At 41.0% G+C, this 27011-nt stretch overlaps 1 protein-coding gene across 13 annotated transcripts in view, besides 3 other annotated features; it reads right to left on the bottom strand.

Moving 5' to 3' along the window:
* Nucleotides 1-27011, bottom strand: part of ADK (adenosine kinase) — a 558070-nt gene that overhangs the window by 508398 nt on the left and 22661 nt on the right. For 7 of the 13 annotated variants that reach the window (NM_001123.4, XM_017015702.2, NM_001369124.1 and 4 more), the window contains exons 1-2: nucleotides 24007-24130; nucleotides 55-129 (exon numbers count right to left, since the gene is read on the bottom strand). In NM_001123.4, coding sequence (NP_001114.2) covers nucleotides 55-129; nucleotides 24007-24020 — 89 coding nt within the window. In that variant the 5' untranslated portion in view covers nucleotides 24021-24130. Of the gene's footprint in view, nucleotides 1-54; nucleotides 130-24006; nucleotides 24131-27011 lie in introns of those variants that run through there. The other 6 variants (NM_006721.4, NM_001369123.1, NM_001202450.2 and 3 more) reach the window with 1 other exon arrangement.
* Nucleotides 10624-10683: an enhancer, noted in NCBI's record as "active region_3593". NCBI's record gives its function as "activates an Ori minimal core promoter by ATAC-STARR-seq in GM12878 lymphoblastoid cells {active_cell/tissue: GM12878}" and the evidence as "EXISTENCE:reporter gene assay evidence [ECO:0000049][PMID:35858748]".
* Nucleotides 24145-25091: an enhancer, noted in NCBI's record as "NANOG-H3K27ac-H3K4me1 hESC enhancer chr10:75935560-75936506 (GRCh37/hg19 assembly coordinates)". NCBI's record gives its function as "activates a minimal SCP1, AML or CMV promoter by ChIP-STARR-seq in primed H9 embryonic stem cells {active_cell/tissue: H9 hESC(primed)}" and the evidence as "EXISTENCE:reporter gene assay evidence [ECO:0000049][PMID:30033119]".
* Nucleotides 24271-24390: an enhancer, noted in NCBI's record as "active region_3592". NCBI's record gives its function as "activates an Ori minimal core promoter by ATAC-STARR-seq in GM12878 lymphoblastoid cells {active_cell/tissue: GM12878}" and the evidence as "EXISTENCE:reporter gene assay evidence [ECO:0000049][PMID:35858748]".

The following is a 27011-nucleotide window of genomic DNA, read 5'->3' as shown; positions in this document are numbered from 1 at the left end:
ATTCTTCTTCAAATGTAAGTTCCACATAGTGCATATGAAGAGTTTAATACTTACTTATCAAGGAAATCTTTGTCCACTACAGCAGAGATGTCAAGCAGAGGATTTCCCATTCCAAAGAGAATATTTTCTCTAAAAAAACACAAAACACAAGTTAGAAATACTTCTAAAAGTAAGTTGATATGTAAAAGGTACACAAAATAAAAATAACTATCTTCATTTCAACCTGAAAATAAACCTAACACACCAGTTTATTAAACATTTGATTTGCCTATTATACGTAGAACATTTTAGAGGTAGCATAAAGACATTTAGAAAAAAAGATGATTATCAGAGAAAGATGCAAATCAAAACTACAATGAGACACCATCTCACACCAATGAGAATACCTATTTTTTTTTTTTTTTTTTGGACACGGAGTTTCGCTCTTGTCGCCCAGGCCGGAGTGCAATGGTGCAATCTCAGCTCACTGCAACCTCCACCTCCCAGGTTCAAGTGATTCTCCTGCCTCAGCCTCCTGAGTAGCTGGGATTAAAGGTGCCTGCCACCATGCCTGGCTAATTTTTGTATTTTTAGTAGAGATGGGGTTTCACCATGTTGGCCAGGCTGGTCTCGAACTCCTGACCTCAGCACATCCACCTGCCTTAGCCTCCCAAAATGCTGGGATTACAGGTGTGAGCCACTGTGCCCAGCCCAGAATAACTATTACTAAAGAGTCAAAAAAAAAAAAAAAAAAAAACAGATGGTGTCAAGGTTGCAGAGAAAAGGTAATACTTATAAACTGCTGATGGGAATGCAAATTAGGTTAGCCCCTGTGAAAAGAAGTTTAAAGATCTCTCAAAAAACTTAAAATATAATTACCATCCGACCCAGCAATCTCATTATGGGTATATACCCAAAGAAAAATGAATCATTCTAGGCTGGGCACGGTGGTTCACACCTGTAATCCCAGCACTTTGGGAGGCCGAGGTGGGTGGATCATGAGGTCAGCAGATCAAGACCATCCTGACCAACAAGGTGAAACCCCATCTGTATAAAAAATACAAAAATTAGCCAGGTGTAGTGGCGAGCACCTGTAGTCCCAGCTACTCAGGAGGCTGATGCAGGAGAATCACTTGAACCCAGGAGGTGGAGGTTGCAGTGAGTCGAGATCGTGCCACTGCGCTCCAGCCTGGGCGACAGAGCGAGACTCTGCCTAAAAAATAAAAAAAATGAAAAAAAATGAATCATTCTACCAAAAAGGGATATGTTTATTACAGCACTCTTCACAATAGCAAAGACATGGAATCAACTTAGGTGCCCATCAATGGTAGAATGGATAAAGAAAATTCAATACATATACACCATGGAATACTATGCAGCCATAAAAAAAGAACGAAATCATGTCCTTTACAGCAATATGGATGCAGCTGAATTATCCTAAGTGAATTAACATAGAAACAGAAAGCCAAATATCACATGTTTTCACTTATAAGTGGAAGCTAAACACTGGGTACGCAGAGACACAAAGATGTCGGGACAAAAGACACTGGAGATTCCAAAATCAGGGAGGGAGACAGGAAAGCAAGGGCTCAAAAACTACCTATTGGTTACTATGTTCACTACTTAGACGATGGGGATCATTACAAAACCAAACTTCAGTATCATATGATATACCCATGTAACAAACCTGCACATGCACTCCCCTGAATGTTATTAGGGAGCCCGTGGCACATCCTGGAAGAGTACAAGCAAGAGCCCTATCTACCCTTCACAAAAAAATGACTGTGGTAGGGTCTTCACAATGGATATCAGAAGTGATATAATTCTCTTATTATGTATCCAAAAAATTTAAATATATGCTAACTTTTTATAGAACGATTTGTAACTTTTACAAATTTAAATGCACATCTTTTCATCTAAAAATGTCTAGCTAAAACTTTTATTCATGTCTTATGTTTCCTATACTTCTTATATTCATGTCTTCTCATACATATACTTGTATGTTATATATATAAGGATTCATTTCAGATGCCTATAACATGAAATAAAGCAAAACAAAAACAAACAAATCAACAAGAAACGATATAATTTTAAATTATATTTAACAGACTTGGAGGAAGTCTGTTTTCCATAAGAGATCACAGTATGGTTCCAATCCAAATAAAAGAAAGAACTCCACCACAAGTGATGCCTTAAACAGAAGCTCATCTAGCAGCAAGAAATGGGCCAGTGAATACTGTTGGATCAGTCTCAATAAGAGACATTCATCTAGTTTATCCAAAAAGATTTGTTTCTGTGTAATTTTTTATTGGTCTCCAGTTTACTGATGATTCCCCCTCCCTTTCAGTTGCCTCCAAACCAGTTACCATTCTCACCATTTGGCAACTATCAGTAATATCAATGGACTAACATGCCAATATTTCTTTAAGAGAATGAGGTACAGCCTATAATTATAATCTGTAATGATTTTTAGAAGATAAAATTACAGTCTCTTATTAACACCATAGATTGAGCAACTATGGCTGAATATGCAATAAAGAGATATTTGTCCCTTTTCTATTTAAAGAAAGCTGAGTGGAGGAGGGAAAGATAATACACTTACTTATTCACACTTAAATTGCATATGTGATCAAAGCAAGTCTAATAAAAAAGTATTTTAAGTGCTTAGAAGGTGAAGGATCAACAGACAAATACAGTAAAATCTAACCATGATTTCACTGGGACTACTCTGCCTGATTTATATATTCTTATTCAAACAAAAACTCCTAGAACTTGTTATTTAAAAAACAAAACAAAACAAAAAAACAAGGATGAGCAGTGTTATTGGGCTACTTGGTTTTTTATTTTCCTTCACCCTTTTTATCACCGTTTGTAAGCATCCAGTTCAATGTATACAGTCATATAACCACAAAACTATGGAACATTTTCATCACAATAACAACAAAAAAGTATCCTCCTGCCCCCACATCAATCCCTCTACCCTCAATTGGTCCCCTCTCAGTTTTAAGGAATATAATTGTTACACCTCTTTTTAAGAAGTCAAACCTTTGAACATCTACCGCATTCCCAAAAGAGTTTATTATACTCCGTTTAAAAACTCAGTAAAGACAGTCTTACAGAGAGGCCAATAATTGATTCTAAGAATGAAGTACAATTCAAGAGTCAAATAATTCACTTCTGAGTCTCAGTTCTTTTTTTTTTTCTTTTTTTTTTTTTTAGACGGAGTCTCTCTCTGTCACCCAGGCTGGAGTGCAATGGCATGATCTCTGCTCACTGCAACCTCTGCCTCATGGGCTCAAGCAATTCCTTCCTCAGCCTGCTGAGTAGCTGGGATTACAGGTGCCCACCACCACGCCTGGCTAATTTTTATATTTGTAGTAGAAATGGGGTTTCACCATGTTGGCCAGGCTGGTTTCGAACCCCTGGCTTCAAATGATCCACCCGCCTTGGGCCTCCCAAAGTGCTGGGATTACAGGTGTGAGCTACCACGCCCAGCCCAAGTCTCAGTTCTTGAGGTAGCTTGCTGGGAGACTTAAGCAAGCCATCTACCATCTCTGGGCCTAAATGTTAATAATGTTTGACTTGTTCCCAAATAATATTACAATTCAGTTAAGGTCATTTGAAGTCATTCTTATAATAAACTGGAATTGTGTGTCTGTCATCTTTTCCTTGCTATCCTCCCTCTTTTACCCCAAATTTCCTCACTCAAGAATGGAATTTGGGTGGAATTGATCCCTGGGGCAAACCTAAGCCAATCAGCACAATATATTTCTCTAGCCTTAGTAATCAGTTCAGAGACTGGCATGTAACCTAAGCCAGGAAAATCAGAATGAACCCAAGATTTTTTTCTATGATGCTCAGATACAGAACATATTTTTCCCTAATAGATATAAATGAAGAAGGTGCTAGAAGCCTTAAAAACCTAATGGCTTCAATGTGGCTGCCTTGGGATAAATTTAACACCACAGAAAGCAGAGTGCGAAAACTGAAAGAAACCAGGTCATTAATGAAGTTGTTGGACCACCTAATAAAGCTTTACCTGAAACCTATACTCCATCTGAACTTTTCTGTTGTTTTGTTTTGCTTTTTTAAGTAAAGGGGTACAAGTGCAGGTCTGTTACATAGGTAAACTTGTGTCATGGGGGTTTGTTGTACAGGTTATTTCATCACCCAGGTATCTGGACTTTTCAATTACATATGTCGGTAGTTTTGTTTATTTCCATTTGAGGCTGGTTTTTAGTTACTTACAACTGAAAGTATAGGGACAGACGTAAATTGTCATTAGTTCACTTTGTGAATCTGTTTAATATGTAATGCATTTTTATTATAAAACTGTAATATAGAAAAGATTATTAGTGCTCATTTTCTTTTTTTTGAGACAGAATCTCGCTCTGTCACCAGGCTGGAATGCAGTAGCGCAATCTCGGTTCACTGCAAACTCCGCCTCCCAGGTTCAAGCGATTCTCCTGCCTCAGCCTCCCAAGTAGCTGGGATTACAGGCACGCACCACTATGCCCAGCTAATTTCTGTATTTTTAGTAGAGATGGGGTTTTACCATGTTGGCCAGGATGGTCTCCATCTCTTGACCTCGTGATCTGCCCTCCTTGGCCTCCCAAAGTGCTGGGATTACAGGTGTGAGCCACCGCACCCAGCCTAATCTTAACATTACAGTTCCCCAAGGGAGAACGTATGCAACATAGACCCTGATGAGTGATGCTGTTAGGCTGCAATTGTCCAAAGCCCACATGAAACTGGTTGCAGAAGTTGTGGCTAGTACAGCAGTGAGGAGAAAATAATTTAAATTAGCACAGGCTGGACGTGGTGGCTCACACCTGTAATCCCAGCACTTTGGGAGGCTGAGGCATGTAGATGGTTTGAGTCCAGGAGTTCAAGGCCAGCCAGGGCAACATGCCAAAACTCCATCTCTACAAAAAATTGGCTGGGCACAGTGGCTCACACCTGTAATCTCAGCACTTTGGGAGGCTGAGGCGGGCGCATTGCCTCTGCACAGGAGTTCAAGACCAGCCTGGGCAACATGGCGAGACTCCATCTCTACAAAAAATACAAAAATTAGCCGCGTGTGGTGGCATGTGCCTATAGCCCCAGTTACTAGGGAAGCTGAGGTGGAAGAATCCTTGAGCCCAGGAGGTTGAGGCTACAGTGAGCCATGAGTATGCTACTACCTCAAAAAAAAAAAAAAAAAAAAGAAAGAAAAGAAAAAGAAAGAAAGAAAGAAAGAAAGAAAAAGAAAAATATAAAAAATTGAGCCAGGCATGGTGGTGCACACCCATAATCCCAGCTACCAGGGAGGCTGAGGTGGGAGGATCGCTTAAGCCTGGAAGGTCGAGGTTGCAGTAAGCTGTAATTGCACCATTGCACTCCAGCCCTGGGTGACAGAATAAGACCCTGTCTTAAAAACAAATTAATTAAATAAAGTAGCATATAAAAGATATCTTGAAATAGTAAGTTAAGTAAAAAAGATACAATTATTTTCAAAAGCAAATAAAACTTTGCTCATGTCACGTTTCTCTCTCCTTCACTGCACATAATTGAGATTATAATGGCTAGTTTCTTAAATACAAACACATATAAACTAGTGTCCAGGCCAGTAAATACTATGACCTTCTTAAATGATGAACATACTATATGAATAAGCATTTGTTTTTATCTTGTTCTACTAGAATGTGAACAAGATGAGGTTTAGTCTATAGCCAAAAACTATGACTAACCCGTACTGGGATTACTTTTTATTCCAAATGTTAGCAATATCTTTTTCTTGGAATGGATGCTAGGATGAGAGATTCTGAACAATCTTTTTTTTTTGGGGGGGGGAGCGGTCAGTAATTTTATAAATGTCTCATAATTTAGGCTTGCAGCCAACATAAACCTACACTATAATTATTATTTTATTGGACAGTCAACAAATTTTATACTGACATATATTTTACAGTAAGAGTTCCTGAGAAAATCTTTTCTTGGCTATTGATATATTAATGTTTGAATGTTGATTAGCCCTCTCAGTAATAGAAACATTTAATTATGATGCCAGAATAAACACTAACAATGACTGCCTTTAACTGTTACACCAGTCATCTTCTCTTTAAATCCAGAAACCTCAGCTTTATATGACTCTTCTCTCTACGTCAACTAGCCCCATCTTACTAGTAACGACATCATCTTGGTTTTATCAAACGCTTCCTGTACCTGGATTTCCCACAATACACCCACTAGCACTAGGCCCTCTGCAGACATTGCCTGAATTTCTACATTGTTAGCAATTGTTTTAGCCACAATAAATCCTGCACAATATCACCAAAATCATATTATTTTAAACAATTCTAGACATAATATTTTTCTACTTAAAATCTACCTAGCTTCTGATTATTAATAGGATAAAATCCAAAAGCATAACTTAAAGGACATTGAATCTACTCAAACTTACCATATTTCATCATATCTAAGATGCCATTATTCATAAAATAATCCCAATTTCCAATGGTGATGCAAAACACAATCAGTTGTAAGATGTATGCCAATTTCAGAGTTGTTAAAATGGGAAGAAATGTGCACACTAAGATAATCAAAATTCAGTAATTCTTTAACCTTACCTCTCACCATTCTAATATATACAAACTATTTTAATCATAATGCCTTACTGTTCTTTGAATAAGACTCTGCTTGTAAAGTTCTTCTCCTGCTTCCTTTGCCTGGCAAACTCCCATTCATCTTTTTAAAATTCCCTGTATGCTACCTGTCTTGGGAAGTTTTTCCTGATCGACTCCTACCCAAGGGCTTCCACATAAGATATACAAGCTGCCACCAACATCACTCAAGAGTGCTGTTAACAATGTAGAAAATGGCTCCTGGTACTGTATATCAAGGCACTGCATCCCTCCCTCCCAAAGATTTATTCATTCCCTCCTGCTCAGTTCTAAAAGTCCTTTGATGAACTTTTTAGTTGATTTTAGGGGTTGCTTTGAACTTTATCTCAATCAACTGATCTTAACCACCTAGACAACAAAGGGTAAAGATTTTTTTGAAATCTCATTTACATTTGTATTCCCAATGGCTAGCATATGATAATTCCATGGGTTTTCAGTGATTCTGTGATTATAGGTTCTGATCTTTTGTTTCTTTCTTTTTTTGAGACAGGCTCCTGTTCTGTTGCCCAGGCTGGAGGGCAGTGGTGCAATCACAGCTCACTGCAGGCTCAACCTCCCAAGCTCTCCCACCTCAGCCTCCCAATAAGTTGGGACTATAGCCACCATACCCAGTTAATTTTTTTCTTTTTAATAGAGACTGGGTCTCCCTCTGTTGCCCAGGCTCATCTCAAACTCTTGGGCTCAAGCTATACTTCTGCCTCAGCCTCCCTAGGTTCTAGGATTACAGGCATGAGCCAGCATGCCTAGCACAAGATACACTTTTATAAAGACAAAGAAGTTTTGAAAATAAAAAGTTAGCAAAAAGACACACCATGAAAACACTAATCACACTGGGGTGGGGGGAGGCGGGAGGAGGGAGGGATAGCATTAGGAGATATACCTAATGTTAAATGACGAGTTAATGGGTGCAGCACACCAACATGGCACATGTATACATATGTAACAAACCTGCATGTTGTGCACATGTACCTTAAAACTTAAAGTATAATAAAAAAAAGAAAAAAAAAGAAAACACTAATCATAAATTACAGTGGCTATATTAAGACACTATATAGACACTATACAGTGGCTATATTAAGACACAGACAAGGTAAGCTTTAAAATACAGAGTATCACCAGATACAAAGGGATTTCATGAAAATAGGTCAAATCATCAAGAAAAGAAATGCTAAAGGTAACAATACAAAATATGTACACACCAAATAAAATGGCTTCAAAATACTTTTTTAAAAACTTAGAAACAAAAGAAATAGGCAAATACATAATCTTAGTTTAGCACCCTTCTTTCAGTAATTAGTAAAACAGGCAGACACACCAAAAATTAAAGAATCACACTACACAGCATTTATCCCAGAGGAAGAAAAACTTAAGTACACAGAGAAATCTGTACACAAATGTTCCTAACAGATTTATTTGTAAAACACTAGGCCAGCCATGGTGGCTCACACCTGTAATCCCAGCACTTTGGGAGGCTGAGGTAGGAGGATCACTTGAGGCCAGAGCTCAAGACCAGCCTGGGCAACATAGTAAGACCTCATCTCTACAAAAATTAAAATTACTAGCTGGGTGCAGTTGTGCATGTCTCTACTCCTAGTTCCTCAGGAAGCTGAGGTGGGAGAATTCTTTAAGCCCAGGAGGACTGTAGTGTGCAATGATCATGCCAATACACTCTGGCCTGAGTGACAGAGAGAGCAAAACCATATCTGTTTGAAAAAAAAAAAAAATGGGCCAGGTGCAGTGGCTCACGCCTGTAATCCCAGCACTTTGGGAGGCCGAGGCGGGCGGATCACAAGGTCAGGAGTTCGAGACTAGCCTGACCAACATAGTGAAAACTTGCTTCTACTAAAAACAGAAAAATTAGCTGGGTGTGGTAGTGTGCGCCTGTAATCCCAGCTACTCAGGAGGCTGAGGCAGAAAAATCACTTGAACCCGGGAGGCGGAGGTTGTGGTGAGCCAAGATCGCGGCACTGCACTCCAGCCTGGGTGACAGAGCAAGACTCTGTCTCAAAAAAAACAAATAAAAGAAAGAAAAAGAAAAAAAAATGGTAAAAATCTGGAAACATAATAAATGTCCTTCAACAAGTAAATAGGTAAACAAACTATGGTACACCCATAAAAGAGAAACAATAAAAAGGAATGAACTATGACACACACAACAACTTAAACGGATCTCAAAGGCATTGTGCTAAGTGAGAAAAAAGCCGTATCTACGGGTTACCTACTATATGATTCCATTTATATAACACTCTCGAAGTTACAAAATTACAGTGATGGAAATCAGATCAGTAGTTGCCAGGGGTTAGGGTTCAGAGAAAAGCATAACCATAAAGAAATAATATGAAGAAATTTCTTTGTGGTAACAGAATAGTTTAATACCCTGAATGTGGTAATAGCTACATGAATCTGGACATGATAAAACTTTATAGAACTATACACCACCACCTCCTCAATTAAAAACAGTATATACAAAAACCCGTGAAATTCTAATAACGTCTATAGTTAATTTAATACTATTGTATAACACCGAAATCAGCTTCCTGGTTTTGGTAACACACTATAGTTATAAAAGATATATCATTGGGGGAAGTTGAGTGAATGGTGCACAGGAACTTTCTGTACTATTTTTGCAATTTCTGTGAGTTGTATTTCAAAAGAAAAGGGAGGAACAGGATATAAAAACAGATATATTAAAAATGTTTAGGCCAGGTGTGGTGGCTCACACCTGTAGTCTCAGCACTTTGGGAGGCCAAGGCAGGACAATCACTTGAGCCCAAGAGTTCGAGACCAGCCTGGGCGAGACCCTGTCTTTTTAATTGACATAGTGAGACCCTGTCTTTATATTTTAAAATAATTTTTTTTAATGCTTAAAAAACAAATTGGGTGACATCATTGGGAATGGCAGAGTAAGGACCTCCAAAAATCCTCTCTTCCATAAAACCAACAAGAACACTGGCAAAAAAATGTCAAGACTTGGGCCGGGCATAGTGGCTCACACCTGTAATCCCAGCACTTTGGAAGGCCAAGGCGGGCAGATCACAAGGTCAGGAGTTCGAGACCAGCCTGGCCAACCTGGTGAAACCCCGTCGCTACTAAAAATACAAAAATTAGCTGGGCATGGTGGCAGGTGCCTATAATCCCAGATACTCCAGAGGCTGAAGCAGGGGAATCGTTTGAACCTGGGAGGCAGAGGTTGCAGTGAGCCAAAATTACACCATTGCACTTCAGCCTGGGCGACAATGCAAGACTGCATCTCAAAAAAAAAAAAAAAAAGTCAAAAATAGCCTTTTTCAGAACTCTGAATATTAACCAAAAAGTTTGCAACAATCCAAGGAGCATTTATTCAAAAAAAGATGGCTGCATCTCAGTAAGAATAGCAAGCTTTGTGGCATTTTAACATGCCTTATTCCCATGCCCCTCTTCCCAGCTCCAGGCTAGCCCTGAAAAGCAGCAAACCACAATCTGTGGAATCCTGGAGCCTAGCAGCCAGTGGAGGTGACAGAACAGGGCTAGAGTTCCTTCAAAGTCCCATTTTCAGAGTACAGTTATTATTTGAGCTGACTAGCAATTCCCTGAAAAACCCCACTCCCAAGACTTCCTAATATTTAACCTGATTCAGAGCTTGCCCATTGCTAACAGGCTTTTCCCCCAAGGTATTTATTTGTCAAAAACAATCAGCTACAATTGCTTAACATTTCAGCTCCCTGAAGCAGCTGGGGCAAACAAGCTAACCAAAAAACACAAAAGGAAAAGTAGGAGAATGAGATGTCCATAGGGAGTTTTGAAAAGTTCTGAAATTCCTAAGACCCTGGAAGATGAAAACAGTGTGCCCAGGCCTATGGGCATACTCAAGAAAGACCTGAGAAGGCCCTAAGCAATCACCACTGACTGAGCATGAAGCTCGGCAAAACAGGAAGTCAAGGCTATGGATGAACTGAAAGCCTGGTTGAGTGCTGAAAGTGTGCTCCAACAAGCACACAGAGCCTCTCAGCGAAGACTAGAACAGTAACAAGTATTGACAAGAATGTGGAGAAACTGGAATCTTCATACATTGCTGTTGCAAATTATAAAGTGATTCAGCCGCTTTGGAAAATAGTTTGGCAGTTGCTCAAAAAGTAAACATAAAATTACCACATGCCCCAGCAATTCTACCCTTAGGGGAAATAGAAAAATAGAACACCACAAAAACTTGTAGATGAATGTTTATAGCACCATTATTCATAGCAGCCCAAAAGTGAAAATAACCCATATATCTCTCAAGTGATAAATGGATAAATTGGGGCATATCTATACAATGAAATATTATTTCAGTCATAAGAAAGAATGAAATACTGATACACGCTACAACATGTATGAACTTTGAAAACATACTTAGTTAAAAAAAAAAGCCAGCTACAAAAGGCCAAATATTATATGATTCCACTTAGGAAATGTTCAGAATAGGCAAATTTGTAGGGACAAGGTAGATTAGTGGTTGCCAGGGGTTAGAGGTTAGGGAGACATGAAGAGTAACTGCTAACGGGTATGGGTTTTCATTTTGGGGGACAAAAACGTTCTGGAATTAAATAGTGCCGATGGCTGTACAACCTTGTGAATATACTGAAAACTACTGAGCTGTGCAATTTTTAAGTGGTGCATTTTACAGTAGCTGAATTATATCTCAGTTATATAGTAACAAACACATAAAACTATCTGACCTAATTGATAAATTATAGAACACTAAATTCAATAACTGCAGTATACACCGTATTTAATAAAAGATACATAAAATATCTACACTGAAAACCTCAAAATATTGCAGAGCGGAATTAGAGACACAGGTAACATTCACCAAAACAGACCACCACAGGGTAGGCCTTAAAACTAATCTCAGTAGCTATCAAAGGATTAAAATGATAAACAACTTATCATTTACAGATATATGGTACAGATATGTACACAATATGTCAACAACGCATTCCCTGAACACCATGTAAAATTGAAAATAGCTAAAAAATCCCCAAATATTAAGAAACAATAAACTTCTAAATGACCTGTGGACCAGAAAAATCACAATGGAAATAGAAATTTGAATTGAACACATCGAAATTGTATGCTGCAGCTAAAGGAGTACTTAGAAGAAAATGTTAATTATATAAGAAATGTACATTAGAATGACTACTAGGGGTTAGCAAAGAAAAAATAATAATAATGAAAGAAATGTGGCTGGGAGCGGTGGCACTTTGGGGGGCCAAGGTGGGCGGATCACGAGGTCAGGAGTTAGAGACCAGCCTGGCCAACATGGTAAAACCCCGTCTCTACTAAAAATACAAAAATCAGCCTGGCGTGGTGGTGCACGCCTATAGTCCCAGCTACTCGGGAGCCTGAGGCAGAAGAATCGCTTGAACCTGGGAGGCGAAGGTTGCAGTAAACGAAGATCGTACCACTGCACTCCAGCCTGGGCAACAGAGCAAGACTCCGTCTCTGAATGAATGTATGAATGAATGAATGAAATGAAATGCACATTAGAAAACAAGAAAGGTTTAAAAACAATAATCTAAACTTCTAACTCAAAAAAGGTAGAAAAAAGAGAGCAAATCAAATCCACAAGAGGAGAGCAAGGTGGCCGGGCGCAGTGGCTCATGCCCCTAATACCAGCACTTTGAGAGGCCGAGGCAGGCAGGTCACGAGGTCAGGAGATGGAGACCATCCTGGCTAACACGGTGAAACCCCGTCTCTGCTAAAAACACACAAAAAAAATTAGCCGGGTGTGGTGGCGGGTGCCGGTAGTCCCTGCTACTCGGGAGGCTGAGGCAGGAGAATGGTGTGAACCCGGGAGGCGGAGCTTGCAGTGAGCCAAGATCGCGCCACTGCACTCCAGCCTGGGTGACAAAGCAAGACCCCGTCTCAAAAAAAAAAAAAAAAAAAAAAATTAAAAATACATGTCCAAAATAGAAATTCAACAAAACAAAATCTGGGTTTTTGAAAAGATTAATTGCTAAACCCCTAGCAAAACTGATCCAAAAATTCAAAAGAAGTACCAACATCAAGAATGCAAATGGAGACATACAGCAGTTCATACAGGCAATAACAGAATATTAGGAAATTTTATGAACTTTATAACAACTCAACAATTGAGAATAAATTCATTTAAAAATTCAACTTCTTAAAACTGCCACAGGAAAAAGTGAAGAACCTGAATGCTTATATATCAGCTAAAGTAATTAAACCTGTAAAAGTAATTACACTAATTTAAAACCTTCTGCTTTTTCCCACAAAAACACTCCAGGCCCACACGGCTGCACTGATTAATTCTATCAAAATTTAAAGTAACAATACCAATCTTATAAAGCTACAATAATTAAGACAGTGTGGCATTGACATAAGAAGATACAAATAAATCAACAGAATAGAACAAATCCAAGAAAAGACCCACAGCTATCTAATCAATTAATTGAAAATCCTTTTGAGAAACCCTTACATGATAGCAAAAGAGTAGTTTAAGATAGATCATAGGCCTAAATACAAAAGACAAAAACATAAAGCTTCTAGAAAAAAACCATGAGAGAATAGTTTCACAAGCCTAGCAGAGAGTAAGGAAAGACTTCTTAGAACAGAAAAGGTAATACCATAAAATAAAATAAATCAACAAATTCAACTTGCTCAAAACTTAAAAGTTCTGCTCTCAAAAGGCATTAAGAAAATGCAACAACATAGCTCAGACCAGGAGAAAATATTTAGAGAGAGAGAGAGAAAGAGTGTGTGTGTGTGTGTATGTGCGTGTAAAATCTGAGAAACCTGGCAAATAACCTGCATTCAGATATAAAGAGAACTCCTACAAATCAGCAACAAAAAGACAACCCAATAAAATAGGGTTGCACATAAAAGTTTAATAAAAACTTGTACATAAATGTTTATAGCACCATTGTTCATAATAGCCCAAAAGTGAAAATAATCCAAATATCTATCAAGTGATAAATGGATAAATTGTGGCATATCTATACAATGAAATATTATTCAGTGATAATATTTCAGAAATGAATTGACACTTCAAAATAAAAGATAAGCAAATGGCCAATAATCACATATTAGCCATCAAGGAAATATAAACAAAAACCATGATGAAATACAAGTACACACTCAGGAGAATGCCTAAATTTTAAAATGCCAAACATTGTGAAGAATGTGGAAAACTGAACTCTCATAAAAAAAAAACTGGTGGGAATGTAAAAAGTGTTAAATTTTCCATTTTGGAAAAGTTTAGTGGTTTCTAAAGTTAAACATAAATCTACCCTAGTACACAGCAATTTCACTCCTAGATATTTACCCAAGTCCACATAAAGATATATACAAAAATGTTCATAGCAACTTTACTCATAGTAACCAAAAACTGGAAATAACCCAAAGCCCATCAATAGAAGACTTGTTGCTACATACATATAATGGAATATTACTTCACAATAAAAGGGAAAAACTACTGATACACACACCAAAATGGGTGAATCTAAAAAATATTATATTGAACAAAAGTAATCAGACACAAAATACTCCTTGCTGTATGATTCCATTTATGTGAAGTTCTAGAACAGGCAGAACTAACATCTATAGTAAAAGAAGTCCAAAAGTGGTTGCCTGGGTGAGAAGGGGGACAGAATTAATTAAAAAGAGGCTGGATCAGGCACAGTGGCTCACACCTGTAATCCCAGCACTTTGGAAGGCCGAGGTGGGTGGATCACTTGGGCTCAGGAGTTCAAGACCACCCTGGGCAACATAGCAAGACCCCACCCCCACCCCACTCCCCCGGCATTGTTACAAAAAATACAAAAAAAATAGCCAGGCGTGGTGGTGCACACCTGTAGCCCCAGCTACTTGGGGGACTGAGGCAAGTAGATGGCTTGGGCTGGGGAGGTCAAGGTTGCAGTGAGACGTGTTTGCCCCATTGCACTCAAGCCCGGGCGACAAAGTAAGACCCTGTGGAAAGGAAAGGAGAAGGGAAAGGGGAGAAGGGAGAAGGGAAAGGGGAAAGGCGGAAGGGGAAGGGAAAGGAGGGGAAGGGAAAGGAAGGGAAGGGAAGGGAAGGGAAGGAAAGGGAAGGCTGATTTGACTTTAGGTAAATTATACTGAGAGAGCCAGGCACAGTGGCTAACGCCTGTAATCCCAGCACTTTGGGAGGCCGAGGTAGGCAGATCACTTGAGGTCAGGAGTTCCAGAGCAGCCTGGCCGACATGGTGAAACTCCATCTCTACAAAAATATACAAAAATTAGCCTGGCACGGTGGGGCGCACCTGTAATCCCAGCTACTCAGGGGGCTGAGGCAGAAGAATCCCTTGACCCCAGGAGAGGTAGGTTGCAGTGAGCCGAGATCGGGCAGCTGCACTCCAGCCTGGGCAACAGAGGGAGGATCTGTTTCTTTTTTTTTTTTTTTTTTTTTTTCTTTTTGAGACGGAGTCTCGCTTTGTCGCCCAGGCTGCACTGCACTGGCACGATCTCGGCTCACTTGCAAGCTCCGCCTCCCGGGTTCACGGCATTCTCCTGCCTCAGCCTCCCGAGTAGCTGGGACTACAGGCGCCCGCTACCACGCCTGGCTAATTTTTTTTTTGTATTTTTAGTAGAGACGGGGTTTCACTGTGTTAGCCAGGATAGTCTCGATCTCCTGACCTCGTGATCTACCCGCCTCGGCCTCCCAAAGTGCTGGGATTACAGGCGTGAGCCACCGCGCCCGGCCGACGACTCTGCTTCAAAAAAAAAAAAAAATTATATTGTTGGCATTTTTTTTTAAAGTGAACAGACTAGGGAAATGTGTTTCTTGGTTACGTAAAGCCAATCCTTCCATATGTATTCTAGATTCTATCCTTCTTTCCTACTCAACATTGATTTCTTCCTTCTGTCAAGCATCATCTATTTTTTCTGCTTTCTATTGGACCACTCTTTTCAGCACACAAATGTGAAAATTTCAAAACCTCCCCGCAGAAAACCTTAGCCCAGCATGTACTTCCAACTACCATTATTTCCCTGCTCTCCTTTACAGCAAAACACTACCAGTGCTCTATCAAATAGTAAGTTCCCCAAACTAGGTAAAATTATTCATTTTAAATTCAATTGCAGAAAGGCACATGTGTGACATGACTAACACTTATATAACAATTTTCAACTTAAAATGCATTTTTTGGTATGTCACCTCTTTAATATCTTCAAAACACCCATGTAGGATAGGTATCGCTATTATCTCTTTTTAACGGATGAGGAAACAAGAGGTTCCTCAAGGTTATGTAACCTCCCAAAAGTAAGATAACAAATAATCCCTAATTTCAAATCATGTGCATTACTATTTAATATACATTTGTACACTCAGAACTCTCCATACAATAAAAATGTCTGACCAATGAAAAACATCCAAATGTACCCAAAATAGGCCAAAATTCCATTATCTTATGGTCCTAGTTCAAATAACATTTCAACAAACAAAACCTAGTACAACAAAATGATTGTAATGCATATGTAGGTGACCAGATAATTTATTATCCAAATGGGACACTTTTGAGAGTAAATGAGACACATTTATGTGTCTATTAATAATTGTGTCAGGATAGCCGGGGACAATGGCTCATGCCTATAATCCCAGCACTTTAGGTGGCTGAGGCGGGAGGATCACTTGACCAAGAGTTTGAGGCCAGGAGGTTCAAGACCAGCCTGGGCAACATGGCAAGACCCCATCTTTACCCACCCCCCTGACACACACACACACACACACACACACACACACACACACACACAAAATATAGCCAGGCATGGTGGTGTGTGTTTATAGTCCCAGCCTCTCTGGAGGGCTGAGGTGGGAGGATCACTTGAGCCCAGGATTTCAAGGTTACAGTGAGCCATGATTGCACTACTGCACTCCAGCTGGGCAGCAGAGCAAGACCCTGTGTCTACAAAAGAAAAAATAATAATAAATAATAATGTCAGGATAACAGGCATGATCCAGAATTGTCCTGGGCAAACTGGAACATATGGTCATCCTGTTCATAACCTAGCTTTGCCATTTAAAAAATAAAAATCTCTGCCGGGCACAGTGGCTCACACCTGTAGTCCCAGCATTTTGGGAGGCCAAGGTGGGTGGATCACCTGAGGTCAGGAGTTCAAGACCAGCCTTGCCAACATTGTGAAACCCCGTCTCTACTAAAAATACAAAAATTGGCAGGGCGTGGTGGTGGGCACCTGTAATCCCAGCTACTCGGGAGGCTGAGGCAGGGAGAATTGCTTGAATCCGGGAGGCGGAGGTTGCGGTGAGCTGAGATTGTGCCACTGCACTCCAGCCTGGGTGACAGAGCGAGACTCTGTCTCGAATAAAATAAAAATAAAATAAAATAATCTCAGACCAGAATGCCAGCTAAAAAAGTAAAAAGTAAAAAATAAAAATGTTTATTTATGTTTTATCACAGTATTTTATTTTATTAGTAGTATATTTCATGGCCAGGCGTGGTGGCTTGTGCCTATAATCCCAGCACTTTGGGAGGCCGAGGTGGGTGGGTAAGCTGAGGCTGGGTTCGAGACCAGCCTGACCAACATGGAGAAACCCCATCTCTACTAAAAATGCAAAATCAGCCAGGTGTGGTGGCACACGCTTGTAATCCCAGCTACTAGGGAGGCTGTGTCAGGTGAATTGCTTGAACCTGGGAAGTGGAGGTTGCGGTGAGCCAAGATGGCGCCACTGCACTCCAGCCTGGGCAGCAAGAGCAAAACTCCATCTCAAAAAAAAAAAAATAGTATATTTCATTACAGGATCAAGGGATCCTCCTGACTCAGCTTCTGAAGTAGCTGGGACTACAGGCACAATACCATCATACCCTGCAAATTTTCGTATTTTTTGTAGAGACGGGGTTTTATCATATTGCCCAGGCTGGCCTTGAACTCCTGGCCTCAAAGTGATCCTCCCACCTCGGCCTCCCGGAGTGCTGAGATTATAGGCATGTGCCACCGTGCCCAGCAACAGTATTTTTTAAATAACAATTTAAAACCAAGGATGTGGCTGGGCACAGCGGCTCATGCCTGTAATCCCAGCATTTTGGGAGGCCCAGCACTTTGTGAGGTCAAAGCAGGTGGATCACTTGAGCTCAGGAGTTCAAAGCCAGCCTGGACAATATGGTTAAACCCCATCTCTACAAAAAATACAAAGGTGGGACTACAGGACTACAGGTGGGACTGTAGGGACTACAAGTGGGACTACTCCCAGCTGCTCAGGAGGCTGAGGTGGTAGGATCACTTAAGCCCAGAGGTTGACGTTGCAGTGAACTGTGTTCATGCCACCACACTCCAGCAAGGGCAACAGGGCAAGACCGTGCCTCAAAAAATAAAAATAATAAAATAAAACCAAGGAGGTATGAAGAGGTAGGGAGACGTGACTGTTAACCAATATTGCAGGAAAGGGTTAACATTCAAACAGTCTAGAAAATCACTTTGGTTCAAGTTTTATCTTTGACAGTTCTGCTTAACGTAGCAATATTGTGGCTGGAAAGATTTGGAGTTAGAAAACCTTGTACGCTTTTTTCAAACAAAGGTGACCTATTCATAAATAGGAGCATTAACAGCTGACAACGTTGCACATAAAAGATTCCTGGCCGGCACGGTAGCTCATGCCTGTGAGCACTTTGGGAGGCCAAGGCAGGAGAATCACCTGAGGTCAGAAGTTCGAGGCCAGCCTGACCAATACGATGAAACCCCATCTCTACTAAAAATACAAAAATTAGCCGGGCATGGTGGCATGTGCCTGTAATTCCAGCTACTCAGGAGGCTGAGAGAGGATAATTGCTTGAACCCGGGAGGCGGAGGTTGCAGTGAGCAGATATTGTGCCATTGCACTCCAGCCTGGGCAATAAGAGTATAACTGTGTCTCAAAAATAAATAAATAAATAAATAAATAAATAAATAAAAAGATTTCTGTTTTACTTCTTCAAAATATTCCATAAATGAAACAATTTTAGTTTAAAAGCTCACTTACCTCTCTAAAAACATCCCACAGCATAAAAAAAATTGTGCAGTAATGTGAATTTACAATTCGTATTTTAAAAACACAGGTAAAAATGAGTTTGAAAACTTTAAGGCTCTAAAGAAACCAACTCAACAAAGACAGTTTCAATCTTAGCCAGATTTTAGTCTCCATATGAATGTTCTGAGTGGCTTGGCAGATTCTATTGGACATACCTCAAAAAGTTTCGAGTGTTAGAAGGAAAATACCCCACGACCCCACCCACTGCCCACATAAATTTTCCAATGTAGGCTTAACCCACAAAAGTGGGTTCCAGAATCATCATGTAGGGCACAGTGATGTCCAGAGTCCCAGAATAGTTTTAGACCAAACCTGACCTATCTGGGCAGACCAAAGAATAGGGCTCATTAGCTCTACAACAAATATTCCCCAACTCCATTTCCTAGTCTTCCCTGGCGCAAACCCAAGCTGTAAGCGATGCCCAAAACCAGACTAGACACTGATGTTAGGAAAACAAGGCAATATTCAGAGGGGAATTTTGAAATAGTGTTGCTCAGTGAAAAATACATAAATTAGGAGTCAGAAGGTCTAAATTCTATCTTAGGCTCTACCACTAGGTCTAAGTAGGACATTTCACTTTACTTTGGACACAAGATCCAGTATAGAAAAGGAAAAAAAGTAAAATGCTAAGATCCTCTTTGAATCCTGACATTCTGCATCTTCCTCTGTCTCCTGAACTTAACTCAGGCGCCAACTTAACTATTGGGCCAATTTAAAATGACAAAAGCATCAATTTATCAAATATGTTCTATCATTTCCCAAATGAAGACCAGTAGGAATCTGATATACATAACAAAGGATATAAGTTGTTCCCCAAGGATATCTGGTTTCAGAGGCTGTAAATTTAGACTCTTAATCAGTAATTAAGTAGAATAGAATACAAATGATGAAATACTAACTCCAGCCAAATTCAAAGATCTTAAGTTAAAAAAAAAGAAAAGTTTTCATTTAAAATTATTATTTAGGAATTCCTAAAGAGACCCCCCCCAAAAAAAAATCATTATTTAGGAATTCCTCAGAGTTGAATGCTATACTAGAAAGGGAACTGAACAAGGTATCTAGAGATCTCATATCTAGTTCAAGATATGTAACTGTGTGAACTTGAACATGTCACACTATCTCTGGGCTTTAATTCAACTGTAAAATGAGAAAATTAGATAGGTAAATTTGTTTCCTGTCTAAAAATTTAAGATTTAAACATTTTTTTCCTCAGATGACACCATTCTCTAGAGGGCTCAAAGTGCTTTTATTCTATTTTTAAAATGCTTTAAAATTTAAAAGCACTTTTACACTTATCCAACAACACTGGTAGGATGCATATTAGTATCTCTGCTACTGAGTTATTTCATTAAACAAATGTCCAGAATAGAAAAGAGAAATGGGGCTGGGGGCGGTGGCTCACGCCTGTAATCCCAGCACTTTGGGAGGCCGAAGTGGGGGGATCACGACGTCAGGAATTCAAGACTAGCATGGCCAGCCGGGCACGGTTGCTCACGCCTGTAATCCCAGTACTTTGGGAGGCTGAGGCGGGCAGATCATGAGGTCAGGAGATCGAGACCATCCTGGCTAACACGGTGAAACCCCGTCTCTACTAAAAATACAAAAAATTAGCTGGGCGTGGTGGCGGGCGCCTGTAGTCCCAGCTACTAGAGAGGCTGAGGCAGGAGAATGGCATGAACCCAGGAGGCGGAGCTTCAAGTGAGCCGGATCGCACCACTGCACTCCAGCCTGGGTGACAGAGCGAGACTCCGTCTCAAAAAAAAAAAAAAAAAAAAAGACTAGCCTGGCCAACATGATGAAACTCCGTCTCTACCAAAAATAGAAAAAAATTAGCTGGGCGTGAGGCAGGCGTCTGTAAACCCAGCTACTCGGGAGGCTGAGGCAGGAGAATGGCTTCAACCCAGGAGGTGGAGGTTGCAATGAGCCGAGATCGCGCCACTGCACTCCAGCCTGGGCGACAGAGCAAGACACTGTCTCAAAATAATAATTAATAATAACAATAATAATAATAATAATAATAATAAAAAGAAAAGAGAAATGGAAGCTCAGTAACTCAGAAAAGGCCCTCAGTGGGGCCCAAGATATTCTGACCATTGGTCCTCATTGATTTCCAATCCTGTATTCTTTCATAGCCATTGCTATGAAAAGAGTCACATACTACTATATTTAGCAACAATTAAGGGTGGTATAAAACAAGAACATTGGACACAAAGTCAGAGTTGGATATCTTGTAATCATTCAGCTTATCAGTAAAAGGGGGTCAATAATACCTACCTTTTAGGCTACTGTTAGACTGAGCACAAAATGGGAATGTTAACAGAAAGGGGTCCCGATCTAGACCCCAAGAGGGTTCTTAGACATCATGCAAGAAAGAATTCAAGGCAAGTCCATAAAGTGAAAGCAAGTTTATTAGAGAAATAAAGAAACAAAAGGATGACGATTCCAAAGACAGAGCACGGGTATGGGCTGCTCAACTAAGTATCTTGTTATTTCTTGATTGTATGCTAAACAAGGGGTGGATTAATCATGAGTTTTCCAGGAAAGGAAGAAATCAGTTCTGATATCTCAGAACTGAAGGTCTCTCACCTTTTTAGACTATATAGGGTAAGGTCTGAACGTTGCCATGGCATTTGTAAACTGTCAATGGCACTGGTGGGAGTGTATTTTAGCATGCTAATACATTATAATTAGTGTATAATAAGCAGTGAGGATGACCAGAAGTCACTCTCATCACCATCTTGGTTTTGGTGAGTTTTTGCTGGCTTCTTTACTGCATCCTGTTGTAGGGTCTTTGTGACCTGTATCTTCTGACTATCTCCTATCTCATCCTGTGACTAAGAATGCCTAACCTCCTAGGAATGCACCCTGGTAGGTCTCAGCCTTATTTTACCCAGACCCTATTCAAGATGGAGTCGCTCTGGCTCAAATGCCTCTGATAGGAACATGTCTGACATCATTATTGCAAAAACTAAAGATATGACATAATTGTATTAAATGTAGTGTTCACCAGGAAATGGCTGGTATCTGTAGGATGACCAACTCATTCAAAACTATCACCATACAGAGTCACTTCACTTTCAATGGCCTCCCTGCACTTCCCAACACCCAGTAGTTGTGTTCTCTTGGCTAACCCTGCCTACTTCTAAACCCCAGTTATCAAGTTCGTTGCAGGATAAGAAGAAAGCAAAAGAGTTACTATAGTTGTCTCTCATGATACTTTACAATTTCTGTCCACAGAAACAGCTTTTTCAGGAAGTTTAAATAGTATATTGTTTCTACAAAGGCACCATGCAGAGCACTAAATCATGGAAATCTGGATTCAATTCCTAATTTTGCCGCTGATTTTGCACAAGGCACTCAACTTTTGTCTCAGTTTCCTCAGGTGTAAAATGTAATAGCTGGTTTAAATAACATCTAAAAGAGCTTTCTCGAGCCATGTTACCATAGTTCAAGATTATGTAAAATACAGACTGACATCTGAAGAAACAAGCATAAATAAATTTTATTATCAGTTATCCATCCTTTCAAAACATGTCAAGTAAGGCTGGTGTCAACCTTTACATCAGTCTTTTAAAAAAAACTATCAACCCCTACAGTAAAAGATACATCCTGCTGTCACTTATTAAACAGCAGAAGCTTTAGATTTGGATGTTTCTCCAATGAGGCACGGTCAGGAAGATGATAGTCAATTAAAACTGAATCCACATAACAACTGATTCTTAACACAGAAAGTATTTGACCCCTACACCTAATTAGTAGCATTCTGTGATAATAAGAGTGGGAATGGGAAGAAGGGGAATTAACTCTGGGTATAATAGCCTAATTCTAATTCATCCTAAAATACTGTTAGCTTTAAAAGCTAGATTTATATGCCCCAATATAATTTACTGTGAAATCCTTCCATGTGGGTCTCCATGTTTCAGCACCTGAATCTCCTTCTGCATAATGAGATAAGTACTTTGTCTATGTTAGTACAGAATGAAGCAATTTAGACCAGTAGCGGTGGCTCACTCCTGTAATCCCAACACTTTGGGAGGCTAAGGCAGGTGGATCACTTGAGGTCAGGAGTTCGAGACCAGCCTGGCCAATATGGTGAAACCCCCATCTCTACTAAAACTACAAAATTAGCTGGGTGTGGTGGCTGGCGCCTATAATTCCAGCTACTTGGATGGCTGAGGCAGGAGAATCGTTTGAACCCGGGAGGCGGAGATTGCAGTGAGCAGAGAGCGCGCCATTGCACTCCAGCCTGGGCAACAAGAGCGAAACTCTGTCTCAAAAAAAAAAAAATATATATATATATATATATATAATTATGCAATTTAAGAGACAGACTATGTCCGAGTTCAGCACAGTTAGATCTTACTGAGGGTTAGGTTCCCAAGCTGTCTCTTAAACACAATGTAGTAAAAATTGGCATTGAGAAGCCCTCAAATCACCAGGACGGGTGGAGCCTGGAAAGCTCATAGACCAAAAATGAGCTTATTTTATTTCTCTTCACATTTTTGTGCTGGGGCCTCCCTTTCTCTGGGACAACAAAGCCCAAGTTCTGCTTTTAAAAAGGCCAGTCAGAACACTGGGTATATAAGGCAATTTATCTCTTTTTATAAATAGTTGAACTAGCGTAAATTAAACATTCAGTCAAGGCTACTGGGAGAAAGTGGACAAGCCCATTATCCTGTCCTCATTAACAAAAAAAGAACCTTCCAAACTGGAAGAGCAATTGGGGGAAAGTCTCCAGTTTCATGGATTTCGCTACATGCCCAGTATCTCTCAACTCATTTCACTTGTGACTCTGAGATAAAAGGAGTAAAGAAACAAGATGGTACCTTCGGGAACCAGGGTCCTAATTCCAGTCATGAGCAAACATTTTAGAGACACACAATTTCACAACTTGAGGGCAATATACCTGCATCAGAGAAGGGCCAACTTTGCAGGTCTGCTCCCGGCCAACAATGAAGTTCTGTCAGAGGGCATGACACGCAGGCATGACACACACTGTGCACGCCACGCTCCCTCCGGCCCTGGGCCGCCCCCGGGGGCGCGGGTGGGGCACATTTTTCATGGGAAATCCACTACACACCCAAGAACGCTTGCAACCCTGGAATTTGGGCGAGGGTCACCTCGACCAAGCAGCGACACACAGAACTCCGCAATGTGCCACAGACCCGAAAACTTCTGAGGAAAGCAGAAATGCCCAAATGAAAAGTGCGGAGGGAACCCCCAACACGAGGGGGACCAGAGGCGGAGGCAGGCTCCAGACCACCCGCGAGAAGGAGCGACAGTGCTCACGCGCTCGGGAGGCTAACGCCCAGCTCGGAGCAGTCAAGGCAGCCGCCCGCTCGTTACCTGACTGACGTCATGGCTTCGCCCTCCTGCCCAGCGCCACGGCGCCCGCGTCCGATGCTCTACGTCCGCTCGGGCAGCAGCAGGTACCACAGCAACTGCTTCCCGGCTCAGGCACTCAGCGACTGGGAGCGCGTCCTCACACACCCCGCGCGCGGGCGGCCCCTGGCTAGCCGGCCCGGCGTGCTGATTGGAGGGAAGGCGGGCGCTCCGCCCCGTGCGAAGGGCTGGAGATCGTCCCCAGACGCCGTGGGCCACCGCGTGTCTCGTGCCAGCTCACTGGCGCGCGGGCTAGCGAGATGACTAGCGGGCGCGGTGGCCATCTTGAGTCCTAGTAACAGCGTCCCGTCACCCCGCAGTTTACAGGGCGAGAGATTGGGTGCCCGCCCCAAAAATGGCCGCGCCTCTGGCAACCGGTTTAGCAGTCACGTGGCCACTGTCTACCTCGGCAAGCTCAGCTCCCTGTAACAGCACTTAGGAAAGAGGCGCTGTCAGGGCAGGTCTTCGGGAGTGGGATTTAACAGCCTGCAAAATCCATCTGCAAAGGTGGGGGGAAAAAAAGCAACAGCCTGGGAAGCCTCAGCCTAGGAAAATATAAAATGCCTGGCAACGGCAGCACGACGTACTAATTCCAGTCCGCAGCCTTTGAGAGTCAATTGCTGGATCTGATGGTCCCAAACGTTCCTGAACTTCAGAAACACTTAGAGCAGCTTATTTAATATGGAAAGTGTCACTTTATGTATCCGAATCTAGAAAGGTAGGCCTGGACATCGGTATTTTTAGCAAGTTACCAGGTGAATCAGGTACAGACATAAAATTTTACAACCTCTGGGCCCCACTCAAGGCTATCCTATTTGACACAATTACCTCACTTTCCAAAGAAGCATGCGGGCTATAAAAAAAAAAGAATCTAAGACCATAGAGGGGAAAAGTGGATGGCACCCTAACTCCTGGCTCTAATCTTACAGTTTAATGCAGTTGAAGAGTTAAGAAATTGTGAACCAATAAAAGGAAAATTAACTCCAACTATGAAAAGGGGGGAATCAGTAAATGCTTTATGATCCAAATTGCTTTTATTCCTTTATTCTCTGTGCAATAATTTTTTTAATTTTCATTTTTTTATTTTTGTAGAGACAGGGTCTCACTATGTTGCCCAGGCTGGTCTTGAACTCCTAGCCTCAAGCAACCCTCCCACCTTGGCCTCCCAAAGCACTGGGAATATAGGTGTGAACGACTGGGCCCTGTTCTACAATGTTATTAATAGACTACAATATCCTGTGGCATTAACTTACTGACCATCTAGGATGGTGATCAATTTCATATGTCTGAAATCAGTTATATCAGAAGCAACCAATACCATCCGATATTGAAATGTGGCTGATGGGACTGAAGAACTTAATTTTTAATTTATTTAATTTTAATTCATTTAAATTTTATAACTGAAGCAATATATTTTTCCACTAAACACAATTGTATTGTTTTAGTTGGACTACATTTCACTTTTTTTTTTTTTTTGAGCTGGAGTCTTGTTCTGTCGCCCAGGTTGGAGTGCAGTGGTGCGATCTCCAACCTCTGCCTCCTGGGTTCAAGCGATTCTTGTGCCTCAGGCTCCCGAGTAGCTGGGACTACAGGCATGCGCCACCGTACCTGGCTAAATTTTTTTGTATTTTTGGTAGAAACGGAGTTTCACCATGTTGGCCAGGCTGGTCTCAAACTCCTGGCCTCAAGCGATCTGCCCGCCTCAGCCTTCCAGGCGTGAGCCAACACTCCTGGCCTCTTTTTTACCTTTTTTAATGTGGCTACTAGAAAATTTAAAATTACAGGAATCTTGCATTATATTTCTACAGAACAGTGCTGCTCTAGTCTAAGTTAGCTTTACCTATCACTGTCCCTGTGATAGAATAATTAAGTTCACAAAATGAAATTAGTAAGGAAGCCAGTTTATACAAATCTGTTTTCTTGCTAGCCATAAAACACATCAAATATTCCAGAAGATTTCAAGTTTCTTTAGAAAATGCTATTTTTAGCACTGTTCTCTTTAACCTGGGAAATGCCTATCCAGAATGAAGCCATGGTCTATAAAACTGATGTGTTCAGTCCATGAGTAAAAGCTGTTAAAACACTGAGCTATACTTGGCGTGGTTAAGACTTTGACCGAAGGTCCACAAGCAGAATTAGTCAATTGTTCCTCTGGATTAAACAGGATCTGAAGCAAAGCAGCAGCTGGATTAGCAATTCACAGTGGTGGAGACACTGGCTAGAGTTACCCACCTTCTCTTGTGGAAAATGTTGATAGATAATCCACATTTCACACCATCAGTGCTTTTCAAACTTTAACATGCATACAAATCTCGTGGATCTTGTTAAAATGCAGGTTTGGCACTGCAGGTATCAGTGACCAAAATTTTGCATTTCTTTATGTTCCCAGGTCTCACTAATTGCTTCTGGTCTGTGGGCCAGGCTGAGTAGCAAGCCTGTAAAGGTAGCAAAAGGTATCTGGTTTGCAACTTCTGCTTGACTTCCTATTACCTGTATGACTTTAAGCTGGTTCTTTTTTTTTTTTTTTTTTTTTTTTTGAGATGGAGTCTCAGTCTATCACCCAGGCTGGAGTGCAGTAGCATGATCTCGGTTCACTGCAACCTCCGCCCCCATCCCCGGGGTTCAAGCAATTCTCCCACCTCAGCCTCCCGAGTAGCTGGGACTAAAGGCACGCACCACCATGCCTAGCTAATTTTTTTTTCGTGTTTTTAGTAGAGACAAGGTTTCACCGTGTTGGCCAGGCTGGGCTTGAACTCCTGACCTCAAGTGATCCGCCCACCTCAGCCTCCCAAAATGCTGGGAATACAGGCATGAGCCACCACACCCAGCCTTTAAACTGGTTCTTAAACTGTCTGTCCCTCGGTTTACCCATTATATGCTGTTCAGGGCACTGTGAAGATTAAAATTTAATTAACTATAGTAAAGAGTCTAATAGAATCCTTGGCACATGGCATAATTATTACTTTGTT

Source organism: Homo sapiens, chromosome 10, assembly GCF_000001405.40.
Source record: "Homo sapiens chromosome 10, GRCh38.p14 Primary Assembly".
Taxonomy (NCBI): domain Eukaryota; kingdom Metazoa; phylum Chordata; class Mammalia; order Primates; family Hominidae; genus Homo; species Homo sapiens.
The sequence above is the reverse complement of the archived record's forward strand: the minus strand, read 5'-3'. Positions and strand labels throughout refer to the sequence as shown.